Source organism: Homo sapiens, chromosome 1 (genome assembly GCF_000001405.40).
Source record: "Homo sapiens chromosome 1, GRCh38.p14 Primary Assembly".
NCBI lineage: Eukaryota > Metazoa > Chordata > Mammalia > Primates > Hominidae > Homo > Homo sapiens.
The window spans coordinates 144,813,707-144,841,521 of NC_000001.11; the positions used below are offsets into that span (position 1 = coordinate 144,813,707).

General features: G+C 44.5%; 1 long non-coding RNA gene across 2 annotated transcripts; it reads left to right on the forward strand.

Moving 5' to 3' along the window:
• The first annotated feature begins 467 nt into the window (after positions 1 to 467).
• On the forward strand, positions 468 to 27,599 carry LOC105371217 (uncharacterized). Of its 2 annotated transcripts, XR_002958630.1 has the most exons (4): positions 468 to 808; positions 2,517 to 2,687; positions 3,552 to 3,679; positions 27,576 to 27,599. It is a non-coding gene; the product is annotated as an uncharacterized LOC105371217 (long non-coding RNA). The 2 variants fall into 2 exon arrangements; XR_922045.3 differs by lacking the exon at positions 27,576 to 27,599 and having other exon boundaries at positions 3,552 to 9,286.
• Positions 27,600 to 27,815: the final 216 nt, after the last annotated feature.

Below are 27,815 nucleotides of genomic sequence, written 5' to 3' on the forward strand. Positions count from 1 at the left end.
CGCCGCCGTCCGCCTCTCCGCCGCGCCGCCGCTGGCCGCCTCTCCGCCGCCGTCCGCCTCTCCGCCGCGCCGCCGCTGGCCGCCTCTCCGCCGCCGGCCGCCTCTCCGCCGCCGTCCGCCTCTCCGCCGCGCCGCCGCCGTCCGCCTCTCCGCCGCCGTCCGCCTCTCCGCCGCGCCGCCGCCGTCCGCCTCTCCGCCGCCGTCCGCCTCTCCGCCGCGCCGCCGCCGTCCGCCTCTCCGCCGCCGTCCGCCTCTCCGCCGCGCCGCCGCTGGCCGCCTCTCCGCCGCCGTCCGCCTCTCCGCCGCGCCGCCGCTGGCCGCCTCTCCGCCGCTGTCCGCCTCTCCGCCGCGCCGCCGCTGTCCGTCTCTCCGCCGCGCCGCCGCTGGCCGCCTCTCCGCCGCTGTCCGTCTCTCCGCCGCGCCGCCGCTGGCCGCCTCTCCGCCACTGGCCCCCTCTCCGCCACGCCGGCGCCAGCGCTGTGTGCCTTTGCGAGGGCGGAGCTGCGGTCTCCTCAGCACAGACCCGGAGAGCATTGCGAGGGCGGAGCTGAGTTCTCCTCTGCAGACTTCGGAGATACAGCGAAGGCAGAGCAATGTTCTCCTCAGCAGAGACCCGGGCGGGCGGGCCGGTGGCACCGCGAGGGCGGAGCTGCGTTCTGCTCTGCACAGACCTTGGGGGCACTGCCTCGCTTTGGGACAACTCAGGGCCGCATGGACAGTGAATAAAATCCTTCCTGTTTGCAGCCCTGTTTGTGGTTGGTGGCAGCGATGGACACTGCAGCCAGCCAGAGCGTAGAAAGGCGTCGGGGTAAGTGCACTATCCAGGCTGCACTGTGGGTGGCCTGGGACGGGTTGGGAGCCCTATCTCAGGCGTCACTGCCCGTCTTGGGTGGCCGGTTGGGTGTGCTATCTGGGGCTGTGCTGCCTGCACCGGGCGGGGGGGGGGTGGTTTGGGGGCCAAACCGGGGCTGCACTGCCTTTGGTGGGGAGCCGGTTGGGGGCACTATCCCAGACTGTATTGCTGGCAACAGTGAGGTGGGCTAAGTGTGCTATCCGGGGCTGCACTGTGCGGCTGTCGGGGGGGTGGCGGTTTCGGGTTGAGGGCGCTATGGGGTGCTGTAATGCCCATGGTGTGGGGAGGCGGGGCAGTTTGGGTATGTTGGGTGTGCTATTGGGGGGGTGACACTGCTGGTGGTAGGGGGCAGGGTGGGTTGGGGGCCATATCAGGGGCTGCACTGATGGCTTTAGCTAGGATTTCTGGTACTATGTTAAACAACAGTGGTGACAGGGGGCATCCTTATGTTCCAGATCTTAGAGGAAAAGCTTTCCATTTTTCCCCATTCCATATGATTCTAGCTGTGGGTGTCTTTCCTGTAGTTTTTATTACGTTGCGGTATGTTTCTTCTGTGCCCGTTTCTTTGAGGATTTATAGCATGAAGGGATGTTGAATTTCATCAAATGCTTTTTCAGTTTCAGTTGACGTGATGATACTGTTTTTGTCGTTTATTTGGTTGATATGATGTATCACATTGTATGTTGAGTGACCCTTGGGTCCCAGGGATACATCCCACTTGATCATGATGAATTATCTTTTTAATGTATTACTGAATTTGATTCACTGGTATTTTGTTGAGGATTTTTGCATCAATATTAGAGATCCTGGCCTGTAGTTTCCTTCTTTGATGCTTTTGTCTGATTTTGGTATCACAGTAATAATGGTCTCATAGAATAAGTTTGGAAGTATTCCCTCCTGTTTTTCAAAATAGTTTGAGCAGGATTCGTACTAGGTCTTTAAATTGTTTGGTGTGAAGCCATCAGCAGTGAAGACATCAGTTCCTGGGCTTTTCTTTACTGGGAGACTTTTTCTGATGGCTTCAATCTCATTACTTGTTACCAATCTGTTCTGGTCTTGGATGTTTTCATTGTTTAACCTAAGTAGGTTGTATGCATCTAGGAATTTGCCAATTTCTACTAGGCTTTCCAATTTATTGGCATATAGTAGCCAGTTATGATCCTTTGAATTTCTGAAGTATTAGTTGTAATGTCTCCTTTTTTTAATCTGTTGATTTTATTTATTTGAATCTTGTCTCTTTTCTTAGCCTGGTTAAAAGTTTGTCAATTTTGTTTAGCTTTCCAGAAAACCAACTTTTCGTTTAATCTTGTCTGTTTTTTATTTCAATTTTGTTTGTGCTATGATCTTATTTATTTTCTTATTTTCAGTTTAGTTTGTTCTTTACTAGTTCTTTAAGATGTATTGTTTATTTGAAGGTTTTCTTTTGTTTGGATGGTAGGCACTTATAGCTGTAAATCTCTGCCTTTGTACTGCTTTCTGCATAACAAGTTTTGGTATACTGTGTTTTCATTACCCTTTGTTTCATGAAATTTTTGAATTTCTGTCTTAGTATCTTCATTGACCCACTAGTCATTTATTCAGGAGGGTAGTGTTTAACTTCCATGTGATTGTATTGTTTCCAAAATTGCTTTTCTTATTGATACCTAGTTTTATTCCTTTGTAGTGAAAGAAGATGGCCACGGAGACAGACAGCAGCGTGGTCAGAGTGGTAGGAGCCGGCCATCAGCGAGAGCTGCTCCATGCCTGGCTGCTGGGTCCTAGAGCCTGTGGCCCACTGGCTTGCCTCACTGTGGTTGGTGGTGGTGGTGACAGAGACTGCAGGACGACCAGAGTGGTAGGACAGGGGCTATCCAGGGCTGCACCTTTCGCAGTGTGGGGTGGGTTGAGGGCGCTATCCAGGGTGTCATTGCCTGCATTAGGGGTACTGGTTGGTAGCACTGTACAGGGCTGCACTGCCCACGGCAGGGAGGGTGGGTTATGGGTGCTCTCTGGGGCTGCAATGCCCATGGAGGAGGACAGGTTAGGGCACTATCAGTTATACGCTACTGGCGGCATTGGGGGACGGAGGTGGGGGGCGCTATTGAGGGCAGGGCTAGCCATGGAGCGGGGGCGAGTTCGGTGCTATCAGGGGCTGCACTGCTGGTGTCGGTCAACAGAGTTGGCATCCAAGGAAGGAGTGGTTCTCCTCTCCCTGACTCCACACTCCAGAGGGCGACCCACTCTTGGTCATACTGGAGTGCAGCAGGGCACACAGCGTTTGCGTGGGAATCCTGAGCATGGCAGAGCCCCCACACCCACCGTGGTTCCTGGGCCTGTGTACTGTGGGTCTGTGCCTCAGAGGCTGCCAGGCACCCCTGGGGACACCACGGGGGACAGGGCCCTGTGCGTGGAGGTGTCCGGAACAGGAATTGGCACCTGGGTGTGGAGGGCTGGCTGGGTCTGAATTTTTCTGCTTCTCCTGCTCCCCGAGGAGTGCAGCCCCAGTGGGCCCAATGGTTCCTGTGGAGTGGGGAGCTGGATGCTGTGGTGTCTCCAGCACCCACCCCAGACCCCAGTTCCTGCCCAGCTTGGGCCAAAAGGAGAGGCTGGACTTTGTAGGGTGGGTGTGAGTGCCTTTGCTGAAACTGGCCCCTGCCACCCAGTGGCCGGCATGACAAGTTGAGGCTCTAACCCTTCCACCCCTCACATCTTTCCCTAGGCTTTTCTGGCTTTGCCCGCCCAGCTGCTCTGTGCCAGGAGGAGGAGGAGACACCTAGAGCCTGCGACACCATGGCTCGCCTCGCTGCGGGTGGGCGGCAGTGACAGAGACTGCGGTGCGCCAGAGTGGTAGGAGAGCGGCTGCGCTAGGAGGGCAGGCGGCTGCAGCCAGGGTTGGGGGTCAGGCTTAGAGCGATGGACGGGCTGCAGCAGTGGCCAGGTGGTAGGAGCCTTGTAGGGAGGGCTGGTGCCTTGGCAATGGGCCTGGCTTTGCCCTGCGCCTGCCGTGGATCTGGCCCTGTACTGCCCTGCCTTGCCCTGTACCTGCCCTACTGTTACTTGGACTCTCGGCCCTGTCCTGCTCTGGTCCCATCCTGACCCTGTCTTGGCCCTGTGCTACCCTGTCCCTGCCCTGGTCTTGCCCTGGCACTGGCCCTGCCCTGAACCTGCACTGGCCTGACCTTGGCTCTGGCCCTGGCTCTGGCCCTGCCTCTTGTCCTGACCCTGGTCGTGTCATGGCACTGGCCCTGCCAATGGTCATGGTCCTGCTCCTGTTCTGGCCCTGACCTGGCCTTGGACATGTCCTGGCCCTGCTTTGGCCCATCCCTGCCCTGGCTCCACCATGGGCCTGCCTGTTCTGCCCTCTCCTGGCACTGACCTTGCCCTGTCATGGCCCAGTGGTGCCATTGCCCTGCCTTACCCTGCGCTGGTTGTGACTTGGCCCCGCTTGGTGCTGGCCACTCCCTGGACCTGCCCTGGACCTGCCCTGACCCTGCCCTTGGCTTTTGCCCTGCCCTCACTATGGCCTGGCCCTGGCCCTAGCCCTGGTCCTGCCATATCCCTGGCCCTGCCCTTATCCAGGCCCTGCCCCTGCTGCTGCCCTGGCCCTGGCCTGGAACCTGGTCCTGTCAAGAACCTGCCCTGACTCTGCCATGGCCCTGGCCCTGCTCTGCCTTGTTCCTGGCCCTGACCCAGACCCAGACCCTTTCCTGGCTCTGCACTGGACTTTCCCTGGCCCTGAGCTGGCAATGGTCTGCCCCTGGTCTTGCCATCACCCTGCCCTGCTGCGCTCTGGATGTGTCATCACCCTGCCCTGGCCCTACTCTGCCTTTGACCCTGCCCTGGCCTTACCTTGGCCCTCACCCTAGCCTGCGCTAGACCCTGCTCTGGAGCTGACCCTAGCACAGACCTGGCCCTGATCCTGGCCGTGGTCTTTGTCCTGCCATAGCCCTGGCCCTGAAGTGGACTTGGAGGTGTCCTGGCCCCGGCATAACATGGCTCTGCATTGGCCTGTCCCTGCCCTGCCGCTACCATCTCCTTGCCCTGCTCTGTCCTGTCCCAGTACTGACCCGGCCATGCTATTTCCCTTCCCTACCCTGCCTTGGCTGTGCCCTGGCTCGGTTCTGGCCCTGGCCCTGGCCCTGCCCTGGACATGCTCTGACACTGCCTCAGCCTCGGCACTAGCCTGGCTCTTTCTTGGCATCAGCTCTGCTCTCTCTGTGGACCGGCTCTTGTCCTGTCCTGCACTGGCCATACCATGCCCTGCCCTGCCCTGCCCTGACTCAGTCCCGGGTCAGCCCTGGCCCAACCTTGGCCTTGGCATTGCCCCTGGTCATGCCATATTTCTTGCCCTGTCCCTACCCTGGCCTTGGCCCTGACCCTTACCTTGCTGTGGCCCTGCCCTTGCCCTAACGCAGCCCCTGGCCCTGTCATGGCCCTGCCCTGGACCTGTCCTGGCCCTGGCCCTTCCCTGCTTGAGACCTTGCCCTGGTTCTCCCCTGGCCCTGACCCTGAAATGCCTGGCCCTACCCTGGCCTTGCACTGCTCTGGCCCTTGCCCTGACTCTGGTCCTGTCACTGGCCTAGCCCCAGCCCTGTTGCTGGTCTTACCATGGCCCAGACCCTGCCTTGGCCCTGCCCTGACACTGTCCTGGACCCTGGCTGTGCCAAGAACCTGCACTGTCCTTGCCATTGTTTTGCTCCTGCCCTGAACCTGGTCTTCCCCAGGCCGTGGCCATGGCCCTGGCCCTGGCCCTGCCCAGGTCTTGGCACTGTCCTGGCCCCGCCCTGCCCTGGCCCTGCCCTGCCCTGGCCCTATGCTTTCCTGGCCCTGCCTTGCCGGCCCTGGCCCTGCCTTGGCCCTAGCCTGGCTTTGACCCTGCCCTGGCCCTACCTTGGCCTTCACCCTAGCCTTACCTGGGCACTGTGTTGGACCTGGCCATAGCACAGACCTGGTTGTGGCCCTGGTCCTGCTGTGGCCCTGTCTCAGACCCTAGCCCTGCCAGGTACCTGTCCTGGCCCAGCTCTGGGCCTGGCTTTGTCCCTGGTTCTTAGATGAACCTGGCCCTGCTCCTGCCCTTGCTGTTGCCCTGGCACTGGCCTTGGACATGTCCATGGTCCTAACCCTGGCCCTGCCCAGGAGCTGCCACTGTCTTGGCTGTGCCCTGGCTCTGGCCCTGCCCCGGCCCCAACCATAGACCTGCCCTGGTTGGTCGTGCCCTACCTTAACCCTGTGCTACCCTGGGCCTGCTCCACCCTGCCCTGGCCCTGCCCTCCCTTTGGCCCTGCCCTGACCCTGCCTTGGCCCTCACACTGGCCCTAGCACAGACCTGGTCCTATGTGTGGCCTAGGCCTGGCATTGACCCCTGCTCCTGACCCCGGTCCTGCCATGGCCCTGGCCCTGCCAATGACCCTGGCAGCCCTGACCCTGGCCCTGTCTTGGCCCTGGCCCTGAACTGGCCCTGCCCTGACCCTGGCCCTGAAGTGGATTTGCAGGTGTCTTGTCCCTGATGTAACCTGGTCTTACCATGGCCCTGTCCCTCCCCTGGCTCTGTCCTGGCCTTCTGCTGACCCTGACCCAGACCTTGGTCCTGCCCCAGCCTTGTCCTAGATCTGGCCATGGCCCTGCATCTTCCCTGGACCAGCACTGGCACTGGCATGGACCCTGGCCCTGACCCTTCGCTACTTAAGGCCATACCCTGGCCCAGCCCTGGTCCTGACCCTGTCCTGGCCCTAATTTGGCCTGGCTCTACCCTGGCATGCTATTCTGGCCCTAGCCCTGACCCTGTCCCTGTCCCTGTCCTGGCCCCAGCCCCATTGCTGGTCCTGCCACGGCCCTTGTCCTGACATTGCCCTTTCCTGGTTCTGGCCCTGGCCCTGTCCCAGCCCTGCTCTGGCCCTGGTCTGAACCCTGGCCCTGCAATAGACCTGCCTTGGTCCTGCCCAGACCCTGGCTCTGGCCCTACCTCTGCCCTGGCCATACCCTTGCCCTGGCCTGGACCCCAGTCCTGGTCCTTGTCCTGCCCCAGCCGTGGCCCTGGCCCTGCCCTGCCTGTGCCCTGTTCTATCCTGGGCTGGCCCTGCCATGGCCTGGTCTTGCCATTGCCCTGCCCTAGCCTGCCCTGCTTGTGCCCTAGATCTGCCCCGGCCTTTGCCCCTGTCTTGGTTCTAGCCTTGACTGAGCCCTGGACCTTCCCTGATCTTGCCTCAGCCCTGGCACTACCCTGGCCTTGCCTTGGCATTTGCCCTACTCTCTCTATGGCCTGGCTCTGGTCCTGCCCTGCTCTGCTCTTGTTCTGTCCTGGCACAGCCCTGGCCCTGGCCCTGGCCCTGCCGTATCACTGGCTCTGGTCCTGCCCTTATGCAGACCTGACCCTGCCACTGCCTTGGCTTTGGCCTGGACCTTGGCCATACAGTGACCCTGCCATGACCCTTTCCTGGCCCTGGCCTGGAACCTGGCCCTGCCAAGGACTCGCCCTGGCTCTGTCATGGCCCTGGCCCTTTCCTGGATTTGGATGTGTCCTGTCCCTTATTTGCCCTGGCCCTTCCCTGGCTCTGCCATACCCCTTCTCTGGGGTAGGGCCAGGGTCAGGACCAGACCAGGGCAGGGTCAGGACCAGGGTAGGGCCATGGTAAGGCCTGAAGATGGGAAGGGCCAGGGCAGCGGCTGGACCAGGGAAGGGTCAGGGCCAGGGATGTAGTAGGACTAGGGGCAGAGCCGGCACTAGGGCTGAGCCAGGACAGAGCAGGAGAGATTACATTGGGCTATTACATAAAATTTTTATTTTAGATTTTTAAGATAACTATAGTAGTAGTAATGTCTATACTATATTGTTTGTAATAGTAATAATATTTGCAGTAATCACTAAATTTTAACTAATACTATCTTTGCTTCCAGTAGTGTTCTATGAGTATAATTTTATCAATATGTTAATATGTGAGGCATTGATTCTCACAATAATTCTATGTGCTAGGTACTTAAAGCATCCCCATTTTCCAAATATAGGAAACAGGTATAAAGAAGTTAAATACTTGGCCAGATTACTCCTGTAATCCCAGCACTTTGGGAGGCCAAGGCAGGCAGATGGCTTGAGCTCAGGAGTTTGGAACCAGCCTGGGCAACATTGTGAAACCCCATCTCTACTAAAAATGCACAAAAAGAACTAATTTAAGTTTCTTGTAGGATTCTGGTTATAAAACACTGGTCAAACACACAGGGCATGGATAGGGCAGGGCCAGGGACAAGGTCAGGCCAGGAAGGGGCCAGGGCCAAGGCAGGGCCAGAGATGGACTTGGAGATGTCCTGGTCTGATTTGCCCTGCCCCAACGTTGGTCCAGCCCTGCTCTGGCACTTCCTGTCATGCCCTGTCCCTGGCCTGAGCATTGGCCCTGGCCCTGTCCTGCTTCTGGCCCTGCCCGGGAGTTGACCAGGCACTGCCATGGCCCAGTCCTGCATTGCCCTGCCCTCCTCTGCCCTGGTGCTACCATGGCCCTGCTTGGGCCCTAGCTCTGCCTCGACTCTGGACCTGCCCTGACTCTGCTCAGCCCTGGATCTACCCTGACTCTGCCTTGGTGTTGCCCTCCCATCTCTATGGCCTGGCTCTGGCCGTGCCTTGCACAGATCATGCTCTGCCCTGCGTGTCCCAGCCTGGGCCCAGCCCTCGTCCTACCATATTCCTGACCCCAGCCATACCCTTGTTCTGGCCGTGACCCTGCCGTGGCCCTCTCCTGGCCCTTCCTTGGTCCTGCCCTGCCTTTCCATGCCCTGGCCTTGCTCTCACCCTGCATTGGCCCTGCACTGGTCCTGCCCTGCCCTGGCACTGCCTTGGCCCCGGCCCTGCCTTCTCCCTGGTCTTGCCTTTGCCCTGCCCTGGCCTGACCCCAGGCCTACCGAGTCCATGAAATGGCCCTGGACCTGCCTTGCCATCGTCTGTCCTGGCCCTGTATTGTCCCCACCATGCTCTGGTCCAGCGCTTGCCCTGGCCCTGTTGCTAGTCCTGCCACTGTTATGGCCCTGCCCTGTTTTTGGCCATGCCCTGTGCTACCCTAGCCCTGCCCTGCCTTGGCCTTGGCCCTACCATGGCCTTCTCCTACCCTGGCCTGGCCCTACACTGGCCTTTTCTACTCTGGCCTTGCCCTTCCCTGGTCTTGCCTTGCCCTGGCCTTGCCCTGCCCTGGCCTTGGCTTTGCCTTATCCTGGTCCTGGTTCTGCCCTGACCCTGGCCTTGCTCTGGATCCTCTCTGGTTCTGCTTTCTCCCTGGCCCTGCCCTTGCTCTGGCCCTGTCCCTGGCCCAGCCTTGACCCTGACCCTGGCCCTGACAATCCCCAGGTCTGACACTGGCCATGCTTGGCCCTGGCCCCTCCTTTTGGCCCTGCCCTGGCCCTGCCTTGGCCCTGTGCTATCTTAGTCCTGCCCTGGCCCTGAACTCACCCTGGCCCTACCCTCACCCTACACTGGCCCCGCCCTACCCTGGCCTTGCCCTGCCCTGGCCCTGCCTTTGGCCTGCTCTGGCTCTGGTTCTGCCCTGGCCTTGCCCTTGCCCTGGACCCTCCCTGGCCGTGTTTTTTCCATGGTCCTTCTCTGGCCTTGCCCTTGCCCTGTCCCCTTTCTGGTCCTGCCATATTTCTGGCCCTGTCCTGTCCATGTCCTGGACCTGACTCTGGCCCTGGACCTCCCTGTCCCTGCCCTGCCATACCCTGGCCCGTTCCTTGCTCTACACTGACCCTGCCCTGCCTTGGCCCTGCACTACCCTAGCCCTGCCCTGGCCTTCTGCTGACCCTGATCCTGCCATGGCCCTGGCCCTGCCATGTCCCTGCCCTGGCCCTGGTTCTGCCCTGCTTCTGGCCCTGGCCTTGGTCCTCTCATGTCCCTGGCCGTGACCCTGCCCCTGGTTTTTCTCTGGCCATGACCCTGCCCCTGTTCTGTCCTATCCCTGGCCCTGTCTCAGTTCTGTCCTAGCCCTGGCCTTTCACAGTACTTTATGCTTAGTAAGGGCTCCATGGTGTCTGTGAGTTGAATGTAGTGTTCATAGTATCTGCCAAAACAGAAAGAAAAAAAACAAAATATTTTGATAAGAAGTTAAAGCTTTGTATATAATATGCCTTGAATTGTAAATGCCTGTTATTAGTTGTATTACATATAGGTCATGGTTTTGTACACATAACTCCAAACCATTGATACTGTTAAAAGAATATATGAATATATGAAAGAATGTATAAACGTAAGAATGTATCAGTATCTAATGACCTTTCCAAATTAATATTTATTTTTAGCTCTATTAGATTTTTCTCAGTGTAACAAACGTTTATTCCTATGTAATTAAGGGCGTATTTCCTGTACAGAATATTCATATTACCTAATTGAAAATTATATGATACAAAAATATAATACTATTTTTAGGCCAGGCATGGTGGCTCATACCTGTAATCCCAACATTTTGAGAGGCCAAGTTTGGAGAATCATTTGAGTCCAGGAGTTGACCAGCCTGGGCAACATAGTGAGACCTTGTCCTTATTAAATAAATAAATAAATAGGTTGGGCACTGTGGCTCATATCTGTCATCCCAGCATTTTGGGTTGCCAGTGCAGGAGGATTGCTTGAGCCCAGGAGTTTGAGACCAGCCTGGGCAGAATAGCAAGACTCCATCTCTACAAATAATAAAATATTAACCAGGTGTGGTGGTGCACACCTGGGGTCCCAGCTACCTGGGAGGCTAATGTGGGAGGTTTTCTCGAGGCTGCAGCGAACTGTGAATGCACCACTGCATTCCAGCCTAGGCCACAGAACAGGACCTTGTCTATGAATAAAGAAATAAGTAAAAATATAAATAAAAATAAGTAAAAAGAAATATTAGTAAATATAAATATAAATACATATAAATATAAAAATGCATGCATGAAAAGAAACAATTTTTAAATTTAACATCACTGAGGGCATCCTATCCATTTCATTTCATGATTCCATTATGTCATTTCACTTAGATGAAATGATAAGATGACTTGAGATGAGATGAAATGATGAGATGAAATAACAAAATGATGAGATGAGATGAGATGATGAGATGAAATTTTGAGATGAAATGGAGAGTGGAAATGATGAGATTAAATGATGAGATGAAATGACAAAGTTGAAAAGAAATTGAAAGGAGATGAGATGAGATGAAATGAGATGAAATGATGAGATGATGAAATGATGAGATGAAACGAGATGAAATGATGAGATGAAATGAAATGAAATAATGAAATGATATGAAATAATGAAATTGAAATGAGATGAGATGAGATGAAATAATGAGATAAAATGAGATGAAATGAGATGAACGATGAGATGACATGATGAGATGAAATGAGATGAAAAATGATGAGATGAAAAATGAGATGAAATGAAATAATGAAATGAAATAATGAAATGAGATGAAATGAAATGAAATAATGAAAGGAAATTATGAAATGTAATGAAATTGAAATGAAATTGAAATGAGATGAGTTGAAATGATGAGATGTAATGATGAAATGAAATGATGAAATGAGATGAGATGAAATGAGATGAAATAATGAGATGAAATGAGATGATGAGATGAGATGAAATCATGAGATGAAATGATGAAATGAAATGAAATGATGGATGAAATGATGAGATGAAATGAGATGAAATGTAATGAGATGAAATGAAATGACATAATGAAATGAAATAATGAAATGAGATGAAATAATGAAATGATGAAATAATGAAATGAAAATGAAATGGAAATGATGAGATGAGAAGAAATGATGAGATGAGATGAGATAAAATGAGATGAAATGATGAGATGAAATGAAATGATGAGATGAGATGAAATGAGATGAAATATGATGAGGTGAAATGACATAATGAAATGAAATGATGAAATGGAATAATGAAATGGAAAAGAGATGAGATGCAATGAGTTGAAATGAGATGAAATGATGAAATGATGAGATGAAATGATGAGATGAGATGTGATGAAATGATGACATGAAATGATGACATAAAATGAGATGAAATGTAATGATGAAATGAGATGAAATGAGATGAGATAAAATGATATGAAATGAGATGAATGATGAGATGAAATGATGAGATGAGATGAGATGATGAGATGAAATGATGAGATGAACTGATGAGATGAAATGAAATTGAAATAAATAAATAAAATTGAAATGACATGAGATGAAATGAGATGATGAAATAAAATGATAAAATGATGAGATGTGATGAGATGAAATGATGAGATGACATGAAATAATGAAATGAAATAATGAAATGAAATTGAAATGAGATGAGAAGATACGAGATGAAATGAAGTGATAAGATGAAATGATGAAATGATAAGATGAAAAGAGTTGATGAGATGATAAGATGAAATGATGAGATGAAAAGATGAGATGAAATGAAATGATGAAATGAAATGAGATGAAATGAAATGAAGTGAAATGAAATGAAATAATGAAATTGAAATGAGATGAGATGAAATGAGATAAAATGATGAGATGAAATGATGAGAAGAAATGAGATGAAATGATGAGATGAGATGATGAGATGAAAAATGATGAGATGAAAAATGATGAGATGAAAAATGATGAGATGAAATGATGAGATGAAATGAAATGAAATAATGAAATAATGAAATGAGATGAAATGAAATGATGAAATGATATTGAAATGAAAGTGAAAGATGAGATGAAATGATGCGATGAAATGATGAAATGTTGAAATGAAATGATGAAATGAATAGATGTGACTTGAAATGAGCTGAAATGATGAGATCAAATGAAATGAAATGAGATTAAATGATGAGATGAAAAATGATGAGATGAAAAATGATGATGAAATGCTGAGATGAAATGAGATCAGATGAACTGAGATGAGATGAGATGAAATAATGAAATTAGGTGAAATAATGAAATGAGATGAAATAATGAAATTGAAATGAGATGAGAAGAAATGAGATGAAATGTTGTAATGAAAGGAGGAAATGATGAGATGAGGAGATGAAATGATGAGATGAATTGAGATGAAATGAGATGAAAAATGATATCAAAAATATGAGATGAAATGAAATGAGATTATATGAAATGACATAATGAATTAAATGAAATTAGATGAAATGAAATGAAATAGTGAAATGAAATGATGAAATGAAATAATGAAAATGAAATGGAAATGAGATGAGATTTGATGAAATGATGAGATGAAATGATGAGATGATATGAAATGATGAGATGAGATGGGATGAGATGAAATGAGATAAAATGATGAGATGTAATGATGAAATGAAATGATGAAATGAGATGAGATGAAATGAGATGAAATAATGAGATGAAATGAGATGATGAGATGAGATGAAATCATGAGATGAAATGATGAAATGAAATGAAATGATGGATGAAATGATGAGATGAAATGAGATGAAATGTAATGAGATGAAATGAAATGACATAATGAAATGAAATAATGAAATGAGATGAAATAATGAAATGATGAAATAATGAAATGAAAATGAAATGGAAATGATGAGATGAGATGAGATAAAATGAGATGAAATGATGAGATGAAATGAAATGATGAGATGAGATGAAATGAGATGAAATATGATGAGGTGAAATGACATAATGAAATGAAATGATGAAATGGAATAATGAAATGGAAATGAGATGAGATGCAATGAGTTGAAATGAGATGAAATGATGAAATGATGAGATGAAATGATGAGATGAGATGTGATGAAATGATGACATGAAATGATGACATAAAATGAAATGTAATGATGAGATGAGATGAGATAAAATGATATGAAATGAGATGAATGATGAGATGAAATGATGAGATGAGATGAGATGATGAGATGAAATGATGAGATGAACTGATGAGATGAAATGAAATTGAAATAAATAAATAAAATTGAAATGAGATGAGATGAAATGATGAGATGATGAAATAAAATGATAAAATGATGAGATGTGATGAGATGAAATGATGAGATGAGATGACATGAAATAATGAAATGAAATAATGAAATGAAATTGAAATGAGATGAGAAGATACAAGATGAAATGAAGTGATGAAATGATGAAATGATAAGATGAAAAGAGTTGATGAGATGATAAGATGAAATGATGAGATGAAAAGATGAGATGAAATGAAATGAGATGAAATGAGATGAAATGAAATGACATAATGAAATGAAAAAATGAAATAATGAAATGAGGTGAAATTAAATGAGATGATGAAATTAAATGATGAAATGAAATAATGAAATGGAAATGATGAGAAGAAATGAGATGAAATGATGAGATGAGATGATGAGATGAAAAATGATGAGATGAAAAATGATGAGATGAAAAATGATGAGATGAAATGATGAGATGAAATGAAATGAAATAATGAAATAATGAAATGAGATGAAATGAAATGATGAAATGATATTGAAATGAAAGTGAAAGATGAGATGAAATGATGCGATGAAATGATGAAATGTTGAAATGAAATGATGAAATGAATAGATGTGACTTGAAATGAGCTGAAATGATGAGATCAAATGAAATGAAATGAGATTAAATGATGAGATGAAAAATGATGAGATGAAAAATGATGAGATGAAATGCTGAGATGAAATGAGATCAGATGAACTGAGATGAGATGAGATGAAATAATGAAATTAGGTGAAATAATGAAATGAGATGAAATAATGAAATTGAAATGAGATGAGAAGAAATGAGATGAAATGTTGTAATGAAAGGAGGAAATGATGAGATGAGGAGATGAAATGATGAGATGAATTGAGATGAAATGAGATGAAAAATGATATCAAAAATATGAGATGAAATGAAATGAGATTATATGAAATGACATAATGAATTAAATGAAATTAGATGAAATGAAATGAAATAGTGAAATGAAATGATGAAATGAAATAATGAAAATGAAATGGAAATGAGATGAGATTTGATGAAATGATGAGATGATATGAAATGATGAGATGAGATGGGATGAGATGAAATGAGATAAAATGATGAGATGAAATGATGAAATGATGAGATGAAATGATGGGGTGAAGTGATGCACTGTCACGTGTGTGTCTATTCTTTTTCCCAAGCAACAAAAATTATAATTCATTAATTTTAATTTTATTATTTAAGAATATTCTTAAGAGTTGAAGGAAAAATAATATCTGTACATTATGGGTTACAATCTAAGTATAAATAATACATAAATATATTAAAACTTACAAAGAATATGTTTTGGAATCGAATATACCATGCTTCTGTGATGACAGTTATTTCATGCTGGTTGTCACAATTTTACATGAAAAACTAATGAAAAAATGTTTTTAACTGTTTCTAAAAATAACAGTTTCCAAAACAGTTTTACATTCGAAATATGAAAAAGATGTCTTTGTGTTCCTTAATCTGATGAGATTTTCACACTCTGCACATGATAATTGTTAGATTTTTATTGTGTTGATAAATTGTATATCAAATAAAAAATGTTATTACCTCTTAAATTAGGATTTTTAGGTGATATAGGCAGAAAGGACAGCAAGTTTTTATAACTTTGTCTAAATGAACTTTCTAAATGCCTGAGTATTAAAAGATAGCATGTCTATAAATCACAATGTATATATTACTGTATGACCTAGGACCAATCAAAACCGTTACCTCTGATAACATTATATTGTGCCCAGTATAAAATAGATATAATAATACCTCAAACTTAAATCCAGGCATTGTCATTGAATATCTTAAGAATATGCAACAAAGGTGCTTTTAAAAATACAAGCTAGTGATTGTACCAAATTTGTAAATCACATAGGATAGTGGGTCATTTTAAGAATATTAGTTATTTCAATCTATAAACGTGGATGTCTTTCCTTTTTTGTGTTTTCTTTAATTTCTTTCATTAATATTTGTCATTTTTGTTGTCGAAATCTTTTACTTCCTTGGTTAAATTTATTTCTAAGTACATTTTTGTAGCTATTGTAAAAGGAATTGCTTTCTTAATTTCTTGTTTCAGCTAGTTTACTATCAATATATAGAAATGCTACTGATTTTTGTATGTTGATTTATATCCTGCAACTTTATTAATTTCATGTATCACCCTAAGAAGCTTTTGGTAGAGTCTTATTTTTTTCCGTGTATAAGATCACATTGTCTTTAAACAGGGACAATTTGACTGTCTCCTTTCCAATTCAGATGTCCTTTATTTCTTTTTCTCACCTAATTGTCCTGGCTAAGACTTTCACTATGTGAAATATGATTGGTGAGAATAGGCATCCTTTTCTTGTTCCAGTAAAATCTTTTTCTTGTTCACAGTAAAATCTTTCACCTTTTCCACACTCAGTATGATCTTAGTTGTAGGTTTGTCCTTTATGTCCTTCTGTTTTAAGGCATATATTTTCTATACTAAATTGTTGAGAGGTTTTTTGTCATGTAAGAATATTTAATTTTGCCAAACGCTTTTATTGTGTTTATTAATTTAATCATATGGTTTTCAGTATATATCCAAAGGAAAGAAAATCAGTATATCAAAGACTTACCTGCACCCCCATGTTTATTACAGCACTATTCACAATAGCCAAGATGTGGAATCAACAAAAGTGTCCATCAACAGATGAATGGATAAAGAAATGTGACATACATATATAATGGAATACTATTTAGTCATAATAAAGAACAAAATCCTGTTATTTGTGGCAACAAGAATGCAAGTGGAGGGCATTATGTTAGGTGAAATAAGCCTGGCATAGAAACATAAACACCACATAACTACGTGTTCTCACTTATGTATGGAAGCTAAAATGTTTAATCTCGTAGAAGTAGATAGTAGAGTTTTGGTTACCATATCCTGGAAAGAGTAGGAGAAAGAAGAGTATAAGAAAAATGTGGTTAATACATACAAAATTACAGCTGGAGAGAAGGAAGAAGTTCTAGTTCTCTACAGCACTGTTGGGTGACTGTAGTTAACGGGAATTTATTGTGTGTTTTCAAATAACTAAAATAAAAGATTTTGAATATTCTCACTGCAAAGAAATAATACATGATTTAAGGTAATGGATATGATAATGACTCTGACTTGATCTTTACGCATTGCATAAATATATCAAAATATCACTCTGTACCCCATAACATGTACATTTATTATATGTCAATTAAAGTAAATTTAAAAGAGAAAAAATGAGACAAAGGTAAATATACATAATTTAATTACTTTTTCTTCTATAAAACCCGAGTCAGTACCAAGAAGAGTCAATTTATTAGTTTTCTAAAATAAAAAAAATCAAAATCACCAAAAAAGAGCAATATCCAAGAAAACATTGAAAATGAAACACAACATTTAGTAAGAATAGAAAACTTGGGCACCGTATCACCCTGTTCCTAGATACCGATTTACTGATGGCCATTTAAATAGAATTTTATTCTATCTAATTCATTTATACTCCCAGAGTTCAAAATTACATTTTACCTACAATAAATGAGATAACACTTGTAAATTATATGGTACTCTGCCTAACACACGTTAATAACTCAATACATGTTAGCAATAAACTTTTAGTATAGTAGTCAAAGTATTAATTTCTCACATTGCAATTTCCTTCAAAGACATGAATACAACCTTTCTAATGACTCCTTGTTCATCAAGATACCTCTTCAAATTATTCTATTTGTTTCATTCAGTATATTATCTGTGTATACCGATATTAGACTCTTTTCTTTTTTTGAGATGGCATCTCATTCTGTTACTGATGCTGGAGTGAGGTGGCATGATCTCGGTTCACTGCAACCTCCACCTCCCAGGTTCAAGTGATTCTCCTGTCTCAGCCTCCCAAGTAGCTAGGACTACAGGTGCATACCACGATGCCTGGCTAATTTTTGTATTTTTAGTACAGTCAAGAGTTTCACCTTGTTGTCCAGGCTGGTCTCGAACTCCTGACCTCAGGTGATCCACCCACCATGGCCTCCCAAAGTGCTGGGATTACGGGCATAAGCCACCGCACCCAGCCTGATATTGCACTCTTGGATTTTGAACACTGAATATCTTTTTGAAAGATTACACCTCTTTACTTCTTTGTGCTTCAGAAATTATTTTCCTTCAGGTGTTCTAAGAGTCTAATGAAGAATGAAGTCATGTTTTATCACTTTTGTCCTTAAAGATTTCAGACATGCTGAAACTGATTGAAGTATCATTTGCTACTAGATAGATTAATTATCTCTAGTTGTAGGAGTGGATACATCTTTAATGGTATATTTTGGGTTATTATCTTATTTTTGATGCAGTATTCTATAAATAATTTATTAAACCTGGCATCCTTGGGTGAGCATAGATTTTTCAACTTTAGTGTTATACTGTGTTTGCTTTTAAAAACTGCTTCTGAGGCCAGGTATGGTGGCTCTTGCCCATACCCAGCACTTTGGGAGGCCAAGATGGGTGGATTACCTCAGGTCAGGAGTTCAAGACCAGCCTGGTCAACATGGCAAAACCATGTCTCTACTAAAAACACAAAATTAGCCAGGCATGGTGGTGCATGCTTGTAGTCCTAACCACTCGAGAGGCTGAGGCAAGAGAATCACCTGAACCTGGGAGGCAAAAGTTGCTAGGTTGCTGTGAGCCAAATTCGCAGCATTGCCCTCCAGCCTGGGTGAAAAGAGCAAAACTCTGTCTCAAAAAAAAAAAAACCCACCAAAAACTGCTTTTGAATGGAGTTGTACATATAATTTTTATGAAAAAAATTAACAAGTGCATAAGTTCATAATAGAAAAACCAATAATACTCCAGGCACAAGTTAGTACTAAAAAAATTATGTTGAATATTCTCTAATACAACATGCTTTTTCCCTTCATGAACAATTTGTGTTTTACTGAGAAGAGTCATTGTTTATGGTAGACATTAGACTACAGATGAATATGTACTTTAAACACTCTTAGTTGCTTTCTTAATTTTATATCTGCTGCTTTATGCTTCTGTTTATTTTCATTCTTTCCAATGTCCACATTCTAGTAAATTTGAATATTTTAATCCAAGTTTATATACTATTTAATATTGCTTGTATAGTTTAGTATTTTTAAGACTCAAAAAGGTTTACAGAAAGAAGAAAAAGATCAACATGTTATTAATCATTTAAAGATCATTTTGAAATCTTTGACCTTTATATTTTAATGAATAAAATATTAGTAGTTATTAGTATAAAATAATTTATGTCTTTTGGACTTAGCATCCAGTATTTCTTTTTTAATAAAGAAAATAATTATTCTCTTGCAATGTACTATGTTTATCTGAGTTTTGAAAAGTGATGTTTCCTAATATGAGAAAGCCATTTACATTTTTAAATCTACAAGGGCAAATGGAATGGTACTAAATTATTTACATAATAATGTTTAGATGGTGGCCCTTATAACATTCTTTCTATACTTCCTACAGAGTTGGGGATATGCAATCCTAGAATATTTCTGGGAGCTAATCCTTTAGCTTGATGAATGAAACAAGACTTTTAAATAAAATTAAACTTTCAAATTATCCAGGTAATGGGCCTGTCTTTTAATTCAATGGATATGGAGCATAATGAATTAACCCCTGTTCATTGGGTAATAAGTTCTCATTCTTATAATACTCAGAATGTCCTTTAATTTTTAATTTTTGATAGTCATATCATTATCCCTAGGTATTTTAGCTTCTATCTTAAATTCTAAAATAATTTTGAAATAGGAGAAAGTATTCTTTATTACTATATGTATTAAACATCATGGTTTTCAAATTGAACTGCAAATGTATCTTTTCATTGCTTCTTGATGACACCCTTCACCCTATCCATATTGTCACTACCAAGTGGTGATTACTTCTCAGGTTCACATACTTATTCTTCAGAAAAATCTTCTCTGTGCCTTGTAAAGAATATGATTGTTGGCATTCAAAAGCCAGCTAAGTATACATTATTAGCCTGTTGCCTAACTCATTTCTTTAAGAAACTACACTAATTACCCACATACTTATGTTTTTATTTCCTCATTATTTCTGGAGAAAACAAGTACTGCTAACATGATATTTGTAAGAGAGAAAAAAGTCTTTTCTTGAAAAGTGCTGTCATTGTAGTACTAACTTATAGTATCAACTTCCTTATAAACTCCTTTTACACTTTTTATTCTGAGAGAAATAAAAAAGCTAAAAGTCAAATGACTTTTTTTACTCTCCTTATTATAAGCACCCATCTTGGTAATTTAGGGTCTTTATAGTTAGGGTAAGTTGTGTCATACCGAGGTTACAAAATAAAAATTATTTTGTCTCTTTGGGCCTTTCCTTATTCAGTAATACTGTCAGTTTGGCTTTTTTTGTAGGTCAACTTATTGAACTCAGTATTCTGAAGTAATATGTTTACTATCTTTTGAGAAGCACTTAAAATATTAGATTTATTGTTACTCTTCTGCCTTTATTGGGCTGGAAGAATAATTGTTTCACTCCACAAAAGGCAAGTTGCGGAGAAAACCACATAGACATTCAACTGCAAAGCAGAGAAACTTGACTATTTTCTGCAATTTTAAAGTGTATATTGAATAAAACCATCTTTTTATTTTCTTTTTTGCTCACTGGCAAATATTAACAACATCAAGTGTATTATTATAATGTTATCTAGTTAAAAATCTCAAAAAGTTTTCATAATTACCATTTTAAAATATATAAATAGGTGACCTAATGTTAATTTTTATTGTCTGAGACCATGTCTGTTATTTCACTCTTTAAATTCAGTTAGTAATGCAGAACCTAGCACTTAGTAGATACTCAAAAATTATTTGCTGAATAAAAAAGGTTAAACATGTAATATATACAAAATGTACTGGAAAAAAATGCACCAAACAATTTTGTTATACCAGTTTAATGTAAATATTGCCTTTAAAAGATAATATAGTTTTCAGGTGTCTACAGTGATTTTGTAATATTTGTGCACATATAAAATAATATTTCCAAAAATGTAATCCAGTGGGGAAATATACTTTCTAAATTCTAGATTTATAATTTAGGGTTTAAATTATAAAATCATTAAATAAGACACAAGTGAAATGTAGTCAAATATCCCCTTGGAAAAAAATTAAGTGGCCTCTAAAGTGAGGTATTCATATATGTAATTTTACAATCCTCTAGTGATAGAATTAATTAAATACACCACAAAATTGATTAATTCCTACTGTGTTAAAAGAGAAGCACTAACAATGCCAGTTACCATGTAACATGGATTTAAGCTACAAGTCATAGAAATGTGATGAGAAGCCTCAGCGCTGTAAAACAGAGGGTGGAGGAAAGCTCTTCCTCTCTCAAATGAGCTTTGCGAGGTATACTTCTTGAAGGATAGGAAGTTGAAGTGTTGAGGACTTTTTATGTCTATTCTACTTTGGCTTAGTTTACATGATTCGTAGTTTATTAGCCTAGAAATGGCCAAGAAAACTTAAGGTTCAATAATTAGTTATAAATATGAAATATCCCCAATTTTTAAGATAAAAACAACTTATAAATGTATTTGTAAAAATTGTGTATATTTTTACAGAACATCTATTTCTTTTTTTATTTTTTTATATTTATTTATTATACTTTAAATTCTAGGGTACACATGCACAGTGTGCAGGTTTGTTGCATATGTATACATGTGCCATGTTGGTGTGCTGCACCCATTAACTCATCATTTATATTAGGCATATCTCCTAATGCTATCCCTCCCCCCTCCCCCCACCCCACAACAGGCCCTGGTGTGTGATGTTCCCCTTCCTGTGTCCAAGTGTTCTCATTGTTCAATTCCCACCTATGAGTGAGAACATGTGGTGTTTGGCTTTTTGTCCTTGCGATAGTTTGCTGAGAATGATGGTTTCCAGCTTCATCCGTGTCCCTACAAAGGACATGAACTCATCATTTTTTATGGATGCCTAGTATTCCATGGTGTATATGTGCCACATGTTCTTCATCCAGTCTATCATTGTTGGACATTTGGGTTGGTTCCAAGTCTTTGCTATTGTGAATAGTGCTGCAATAAACATACGTGTGCATGTGTCTTTATAGCAGCACGATTTATAATCCTTTGGGTATATACTCAGTAGTGGGATGGCTGGGTCAAATGGTATCTCTAGTTCTAGATCCCTGAGGAATGGCCACACTGTCTTCCACAATGGTTGAACTAGTTTACAGTCCCACCAACAGTGCGAAAGTGTTCCTATTTCTCCACATCCTCTCCAGCACCTGTTGTTTCCTGACTTTTTAATGATCGCCATTCTAACTGGTGTGAGATGGTATCTCATTGTGGTTTTGATTTGCATTTCTCTGATGGGTCTATTTCTTTAAAACAAAGGGAGGGGAGTCTCTCATTTGCATTAGTTTTTTTCATAGCCTTTTGAACTTCGCAATTTCTATGTTTCAGAACCTATTTCTTACAGTTTTTCTATGCTAAACTCTGTCCTAGTCAGTTCTAGAGTGTATGAAGAACCAAATGATGTAATTGTATGCCACCTGGCTGTAGTGGAACAAATTTGACTCTTAAGTATGCAGGCTCTAATTCTCCTGTCTGGTTTTGGCAAGTATTCCTTACATAGGTCTTTTCTTTGAAAATCTGGGATTGAGAGGTTGATGAATGAAAATTAATCCTTTCACTTTGTTGTATATAGGTTTGCAATAATTAGGTCAGAGTGGAGTTTTAAGGTCACGGAGGGGTCTGATGACTTACAAATAGTGGGCTCTGATTGGGCAACTACTCATCTGAGTTCCTTCCATTTGACCTAATTAAGCTTGTGAAATTTACACTAAGCCATGAGCTCATCTTTAAAAAGTTTTATTAAAAGATTTTCAGCTGTTCCAAATGGGACTTATTAGTGGAATGTGTTTTAAAGGATCATATCAGATGAATGAAAGGTATTTGATCCTTCGTTTCCTTAATAATAAAATGATGGTTTGGAAAAATAGGCTGCAGTCTAACCACAGTGCTATTATTAGGCTTTCTTGTTAAACATAGTTCTAAGCCTAAGTATGTCAATACAACAAATACTTACTGTTTCATTTCTAGTAATGAAAAAAAAAAAAACCAAGTCTTTCTGGCATAAGGATGATTTTCATCTGGTTATTTTGAAACATTTTTGTAAAATAAATTTCCATCTATAAAGAACATTTTTATTTGTAAGGAGGGGTATGTCTCTGTGCACTGGAAGAGAGGGAGGACTAAATCACTGGGAAGTCTTATGATAAAGAAGCCATTGGCTTAAATCAGCAAAGCAAGCCGTCCCTTGGTTTAAGGTGTTTTTCCTGGCCATCCTGTCTTGACTAGAACTTTACCTACACCTTCCTTTTTGGTTTAGGCAAATTATAGTATCTAAAACTAAAGTCTCAGCTCTGTGTCTTTGACATATAAATGTTCTACCATGTCTTCTCTGGAATCTGATAACTATCTATCTCTTTAAAATGCAAGTCTAGGGAGATGACTCATCAGAAAAAGAAGAAAAAAGAGGTATTTGGAAATTGTGCAAATTAAAGCAGCCCCTGATGTCAAAGTCTACACATTCCTGAGTGAGTCAGTTCTGGCCAGTTCTAGCTGGATCAAGAGAGCTCTTCTGGGCAGGCCTGAAGAGCACCTGGATGGCAGACACCTGAGGAGCCAGGTGCCTGAAACTTCCTCCACCTTCTTGAGGAGGGCCAAAGCCCAGGTGCTGGCTGGACAACCCCTTCTGGCTGCCTAAGCAGATGGCAGAAGAAGGAAACAAGGTCAGAGGCAGAGTATTGAACCCTGCCTCCCAGGTGGGTGGAAGATGCCTGTCACCAAACTAGGGCCCAGCTTGCCGGGTGAGATGGGTGAACTGGTGATCCCCCGAGAGAGTGGACATCAGAACTACATGTTCCTGGACTTCACCTCGGCCAGCAAAGGAGAGAGAGGGTTAATGTTAACTGCACGAGGCCCACTCTAGCCTTAAATTCTGTAATTCAAACCCTTCCCTTGGAGACAAAACATGACAAGGAATTCTGAGGTCAGGGGACAAGAATCACAAAGTGGGAGACTGAGGAGGCAGTGTCCTTCCTGCCCTTGGTCTACTGGCTAAGAACCTTCCTCAGCCTGACCTTTGCACATTGCACTTTCAGCTCTGTTTGCAATTTTCCTCCTTTAGTGCTGAGGGAATCCCAGTGTTCGATCCTGAAATCTGTACGTTCCTAATGGGTGGTTAAAAAAAACCTCAGCGAGAGAAGCAGAAAATGTTTCCTCTTCCTGAAAAACTGTAGAAAGGCAGGCACCATTCTGGGTGAGGACATGGTCCTTGCAAATGTCTTTGTGTTCTTTTTTTTTTTTTTTTTTGAGATGAAGTTTTGCTCTTGTTGCCCAGACTGGAGTGCAGTGGTGTGATCTCTGCTCATTGCAACCTCCGCCTCCTGGGTTCAAGCAGTTCTCCTACCTCAGCCTCCCGAGTAGCTGGAATTACAGGCACCTGCCACCACACCTGGCTAATTTTTTGTATTTTTAGTAGAGATGGGGTTTTGCCATGTTGGCCATGTTGGTCTCGAACTCCTGACCTCAAGTGAGCCACCCGCTTCTGCCTCCCAAAGTGCTGGGATTACAGGAGTGAGCCACCGCGTCCAGCCTGCAAACGTCTTTAAAGACAGCGTGTTTCAGAGGCTGTGACAGTGCCCTGTGAACATGCCAATTCTCACAGTCCCGGGAGCTCTGAGGAGCAGGCCCGGCTCCTTGCCAGGCTGATGGTACTGAAACTCTGCTCTCCAAGACATAACCTGATGGCCGTGCAAGATTTCTTAATCGACTGTGGACCGTGAGAGTCTGCATCTCATTTTAATTAAGATGGGAAAAGAAAGAACAAAAGAGCAACTCCCAGGTTATAGAGAAAGTGGATTTTAGTATAATATTCAAGTGTAGCATTGCTAATAATAACAAACCTTTCCCCTCCCAAACGGTAAACACTTGCACTGCCTATTATACAAAAATTCAACCACCCTCTCTGTTACCCCGATATCTCCTCCCCAGTGACCCCCCCTCTCATGCGGCCTCATGAGCCTGACCAGTGGTGAATGGCACTTTCATGGGCATGAGACTCCACGTGAGTGGGACTCAGCTGGGACCCCTCTCCACGTGGGAGCTGGGGAAGCCACCCTAGTAGCAGCTCAAAGTGTCCGTGATGTCCCTGCTGCTGAGGTAGGGGCTGCCTCTGAGCTGGTGTCGGGGTGTGAGCTGCTGCTGGTAGTAGGCTCTGCCCTGAGGGCCTGGTGGCTGGTCAGAAGGGCAGGCACACATGGGTGACTCCCCAGGAACTCAGGCCACCTCCCCACCACAGCCCTGCACTGTGTGCTCCAGGCATGTGCTGAGTGCCTGGTCAATCACCAGTGCCCTATTGATCCCAGTCTCCAGAGAGAGCATTTAGTGTCACTCCACAGAGGGGGAAACTCGGCCCAGAGAAGTAAGGTGACTCTCCCCAGTCACAGAGCTGGTCAGCAGTAGGATGGGAAGCTAGTCCCTTGCTGTCTGACTCCCTGAGCCCACCCATATCCCAAGGCAGCCAACCTCTGCCCGCCCTGGTTCAGGCCCCGACTGGCCCCAGTGGTGGGTGATGTCTATCTTCCTGGCCTTTGTGCTCCCAGCCAACTGGGATGGAGCCTCCAGCTGGCATGACATGTTGTAGCTATGGACAGAAGAGTGGCTGTGAGGCTGCCAGGAATCTCACCAGGGCCCCCTCCCAGGGCCTGTCCAGAGTGAGGTCTGGGTACCCCAGGCATTGCCAGACCACAGGATCTGATGTTGGCCAAGAGGCCATGGCCACAGGCTTTCTGAGGCTGGCCCCCAGGGAGAGTTCAATCCTACTATCCCAATTCCTGTCCTGGCCTTACCTCTCAGTCTCACCGAGCCGCTTCATGGTCCCAAACCAGGACCCAAAGTGCTGCTTGGGCTCAAGGTTGTAATTATTTGCAGTCAACTGGAGCAGTGGACCTCCTTGCTTACTTTGAATTCCTGGGTCCAGAGGGAAAAACTGGGTGGTGACAGGGACTGGACAGGGATGCCACAGGGGCCCTGTGGGGGTGTTAGATGGGGTGGTGGCCAGTCTTTGCTCATAGGGGACCCCCTCCTCCTCTCCAGTCCTGTCCCCACCTGTTCTCAGAGCTGGCTCAAACAGCAGCTCCTCCAGGAATGTGTCCTTGGTTTCAACCTGGTACTCCCACCTGCAGGTCTTCCTGGAGTGTCTCCTCTTTCTCTCTGTCTCCCCATAAATCTAAGACGAGGGGGATGGATCTGCCCACTGCTACTCACCGTATGACTCTTGTGAGGTTGATCAGTCTCCCCTGGAAGGCCAACAGCTGAAGTCCATCAGAAAGGGTCCTCTGGCCCAGAGCCAGCCCCTGCCCACCCCTGTCTTGCTGCACCCAGGGTGCAAGACCCAGATCAGGTCTGGGTGACAGGAGGGGTATAGAGGGGCTGAGGCTCAGGGGCCTTCCAGCCTAACTTGTCTGGAGACAGTTGGGGAAACTGAGACCCCAAGCAGGGAGGTATGGCTCCGAGAGATTATTCTCATTAACCTGGAAAATTTTTGCAAGCTGTTAGGTATAGGAAGTCTGTCACAGGTAAGAGAAATGCTTTTTAAGAGCATGAGAGACAGCAGGATTGTGACAATATTGAAACACCACCGTGCAGATTCACCAATTGCCACCACCGGGAGCCCCCTGAGAGTCATTGCAGATGCACAGCCCTCCCCTGCAACCCCTGGACCTCCCCGTGGTCTGGCACCTAAAGGGTTATGCCTCATGGCGGGAATCAGGGCCCTCAGGGTGCCCTGCCCACTCCAAGGTCTGCCTCTGCTCTGATTGGTCACTGACATTCAGATTGTCACCCAAATATAAGGACGTTAGCAGAAAGACTCATTCAATACAAGTGGACTCAGACATAGATAGGAATTGGGTTGCAAAAAGCCCCTTTTGTTTATTTTATTTTGGAAAAAACTTTTATTGTGAAAATTCACATATATATATATATATATATGTATGTATGTATGTATGTATGTATGTATATATAGAAAAAAAATCAATGCAAAAGGATAGACAATGAACAAATGAATTCCCCTTCCACTCCAGATCCCCAACTCAGATCCAGACCTCCTGAGCCCACTTCCCCCATCTCATCACAGATCCAGACCTCCTGAGCCCACTTTCCCCATCTCATCACAGATCCAGACCTCCTGAGCCCACTTCCCCATCTCATCACCAGTGATTTCTTGGGCTCTGCATTAGTTTTCTATTGCTGCTGCAACAAACAGCTACAGACTCAGTGGCTTCCATTTCTGTCTTATAGTTCTGGTTGCCAAAAGTCCTAAGAGGATCTCACTGGGCTAAAGTCAAGGTGCTGGCGGGGCTATGTCCCTTCTGGAGGCTCAAGGGATGAATCGGGTCCCTGCCTTTTCTAGCTTCTAGGGGCTCCAGCTTCTAGGTTTGTGGCCTCCTTCCTCCATCCTCAAAGCCAGCAACAGCAGGTGAAGTCCTCGCCCATCATGCATCACTCTCCCTTCTTCCTCCTTCAACTTTTTTTTTTATATTTAGGGGGAACGAGTACCGGATTCTTACATAGTCAAAAAGCTCCTTATAGAGAAGCTCGGAACTTTCAATACAACTTTGCCTTTTCTGCCATTTTAATTTTCCATTTAATTTAAATGTATTCTCTCATTTGACCTTCATACTCTGTGGAGAAATATTCCTATTTCGGCTTGTATTGACAAGCTGTTTTCACAGAGCCCCCACATCACCCAACCAACCAGCAAGAAACAGATAAAGAAACTGAGGCCCAGGGAGGCTAAGAGTCCTGCCAGGATCATTCACCTTTCAAGGTAAGGAGCCAGTTCCAGACCTGGGTTTGTGCAGCTCCAAGCTCCCCCGTCTTTCTACAATGCTAGATTTAGACTATAGCAATCTAGCAAGTGTGGCCACACAATGGTCAAGTTGGATTTAGATGATGTTCCCTATAAATCCATT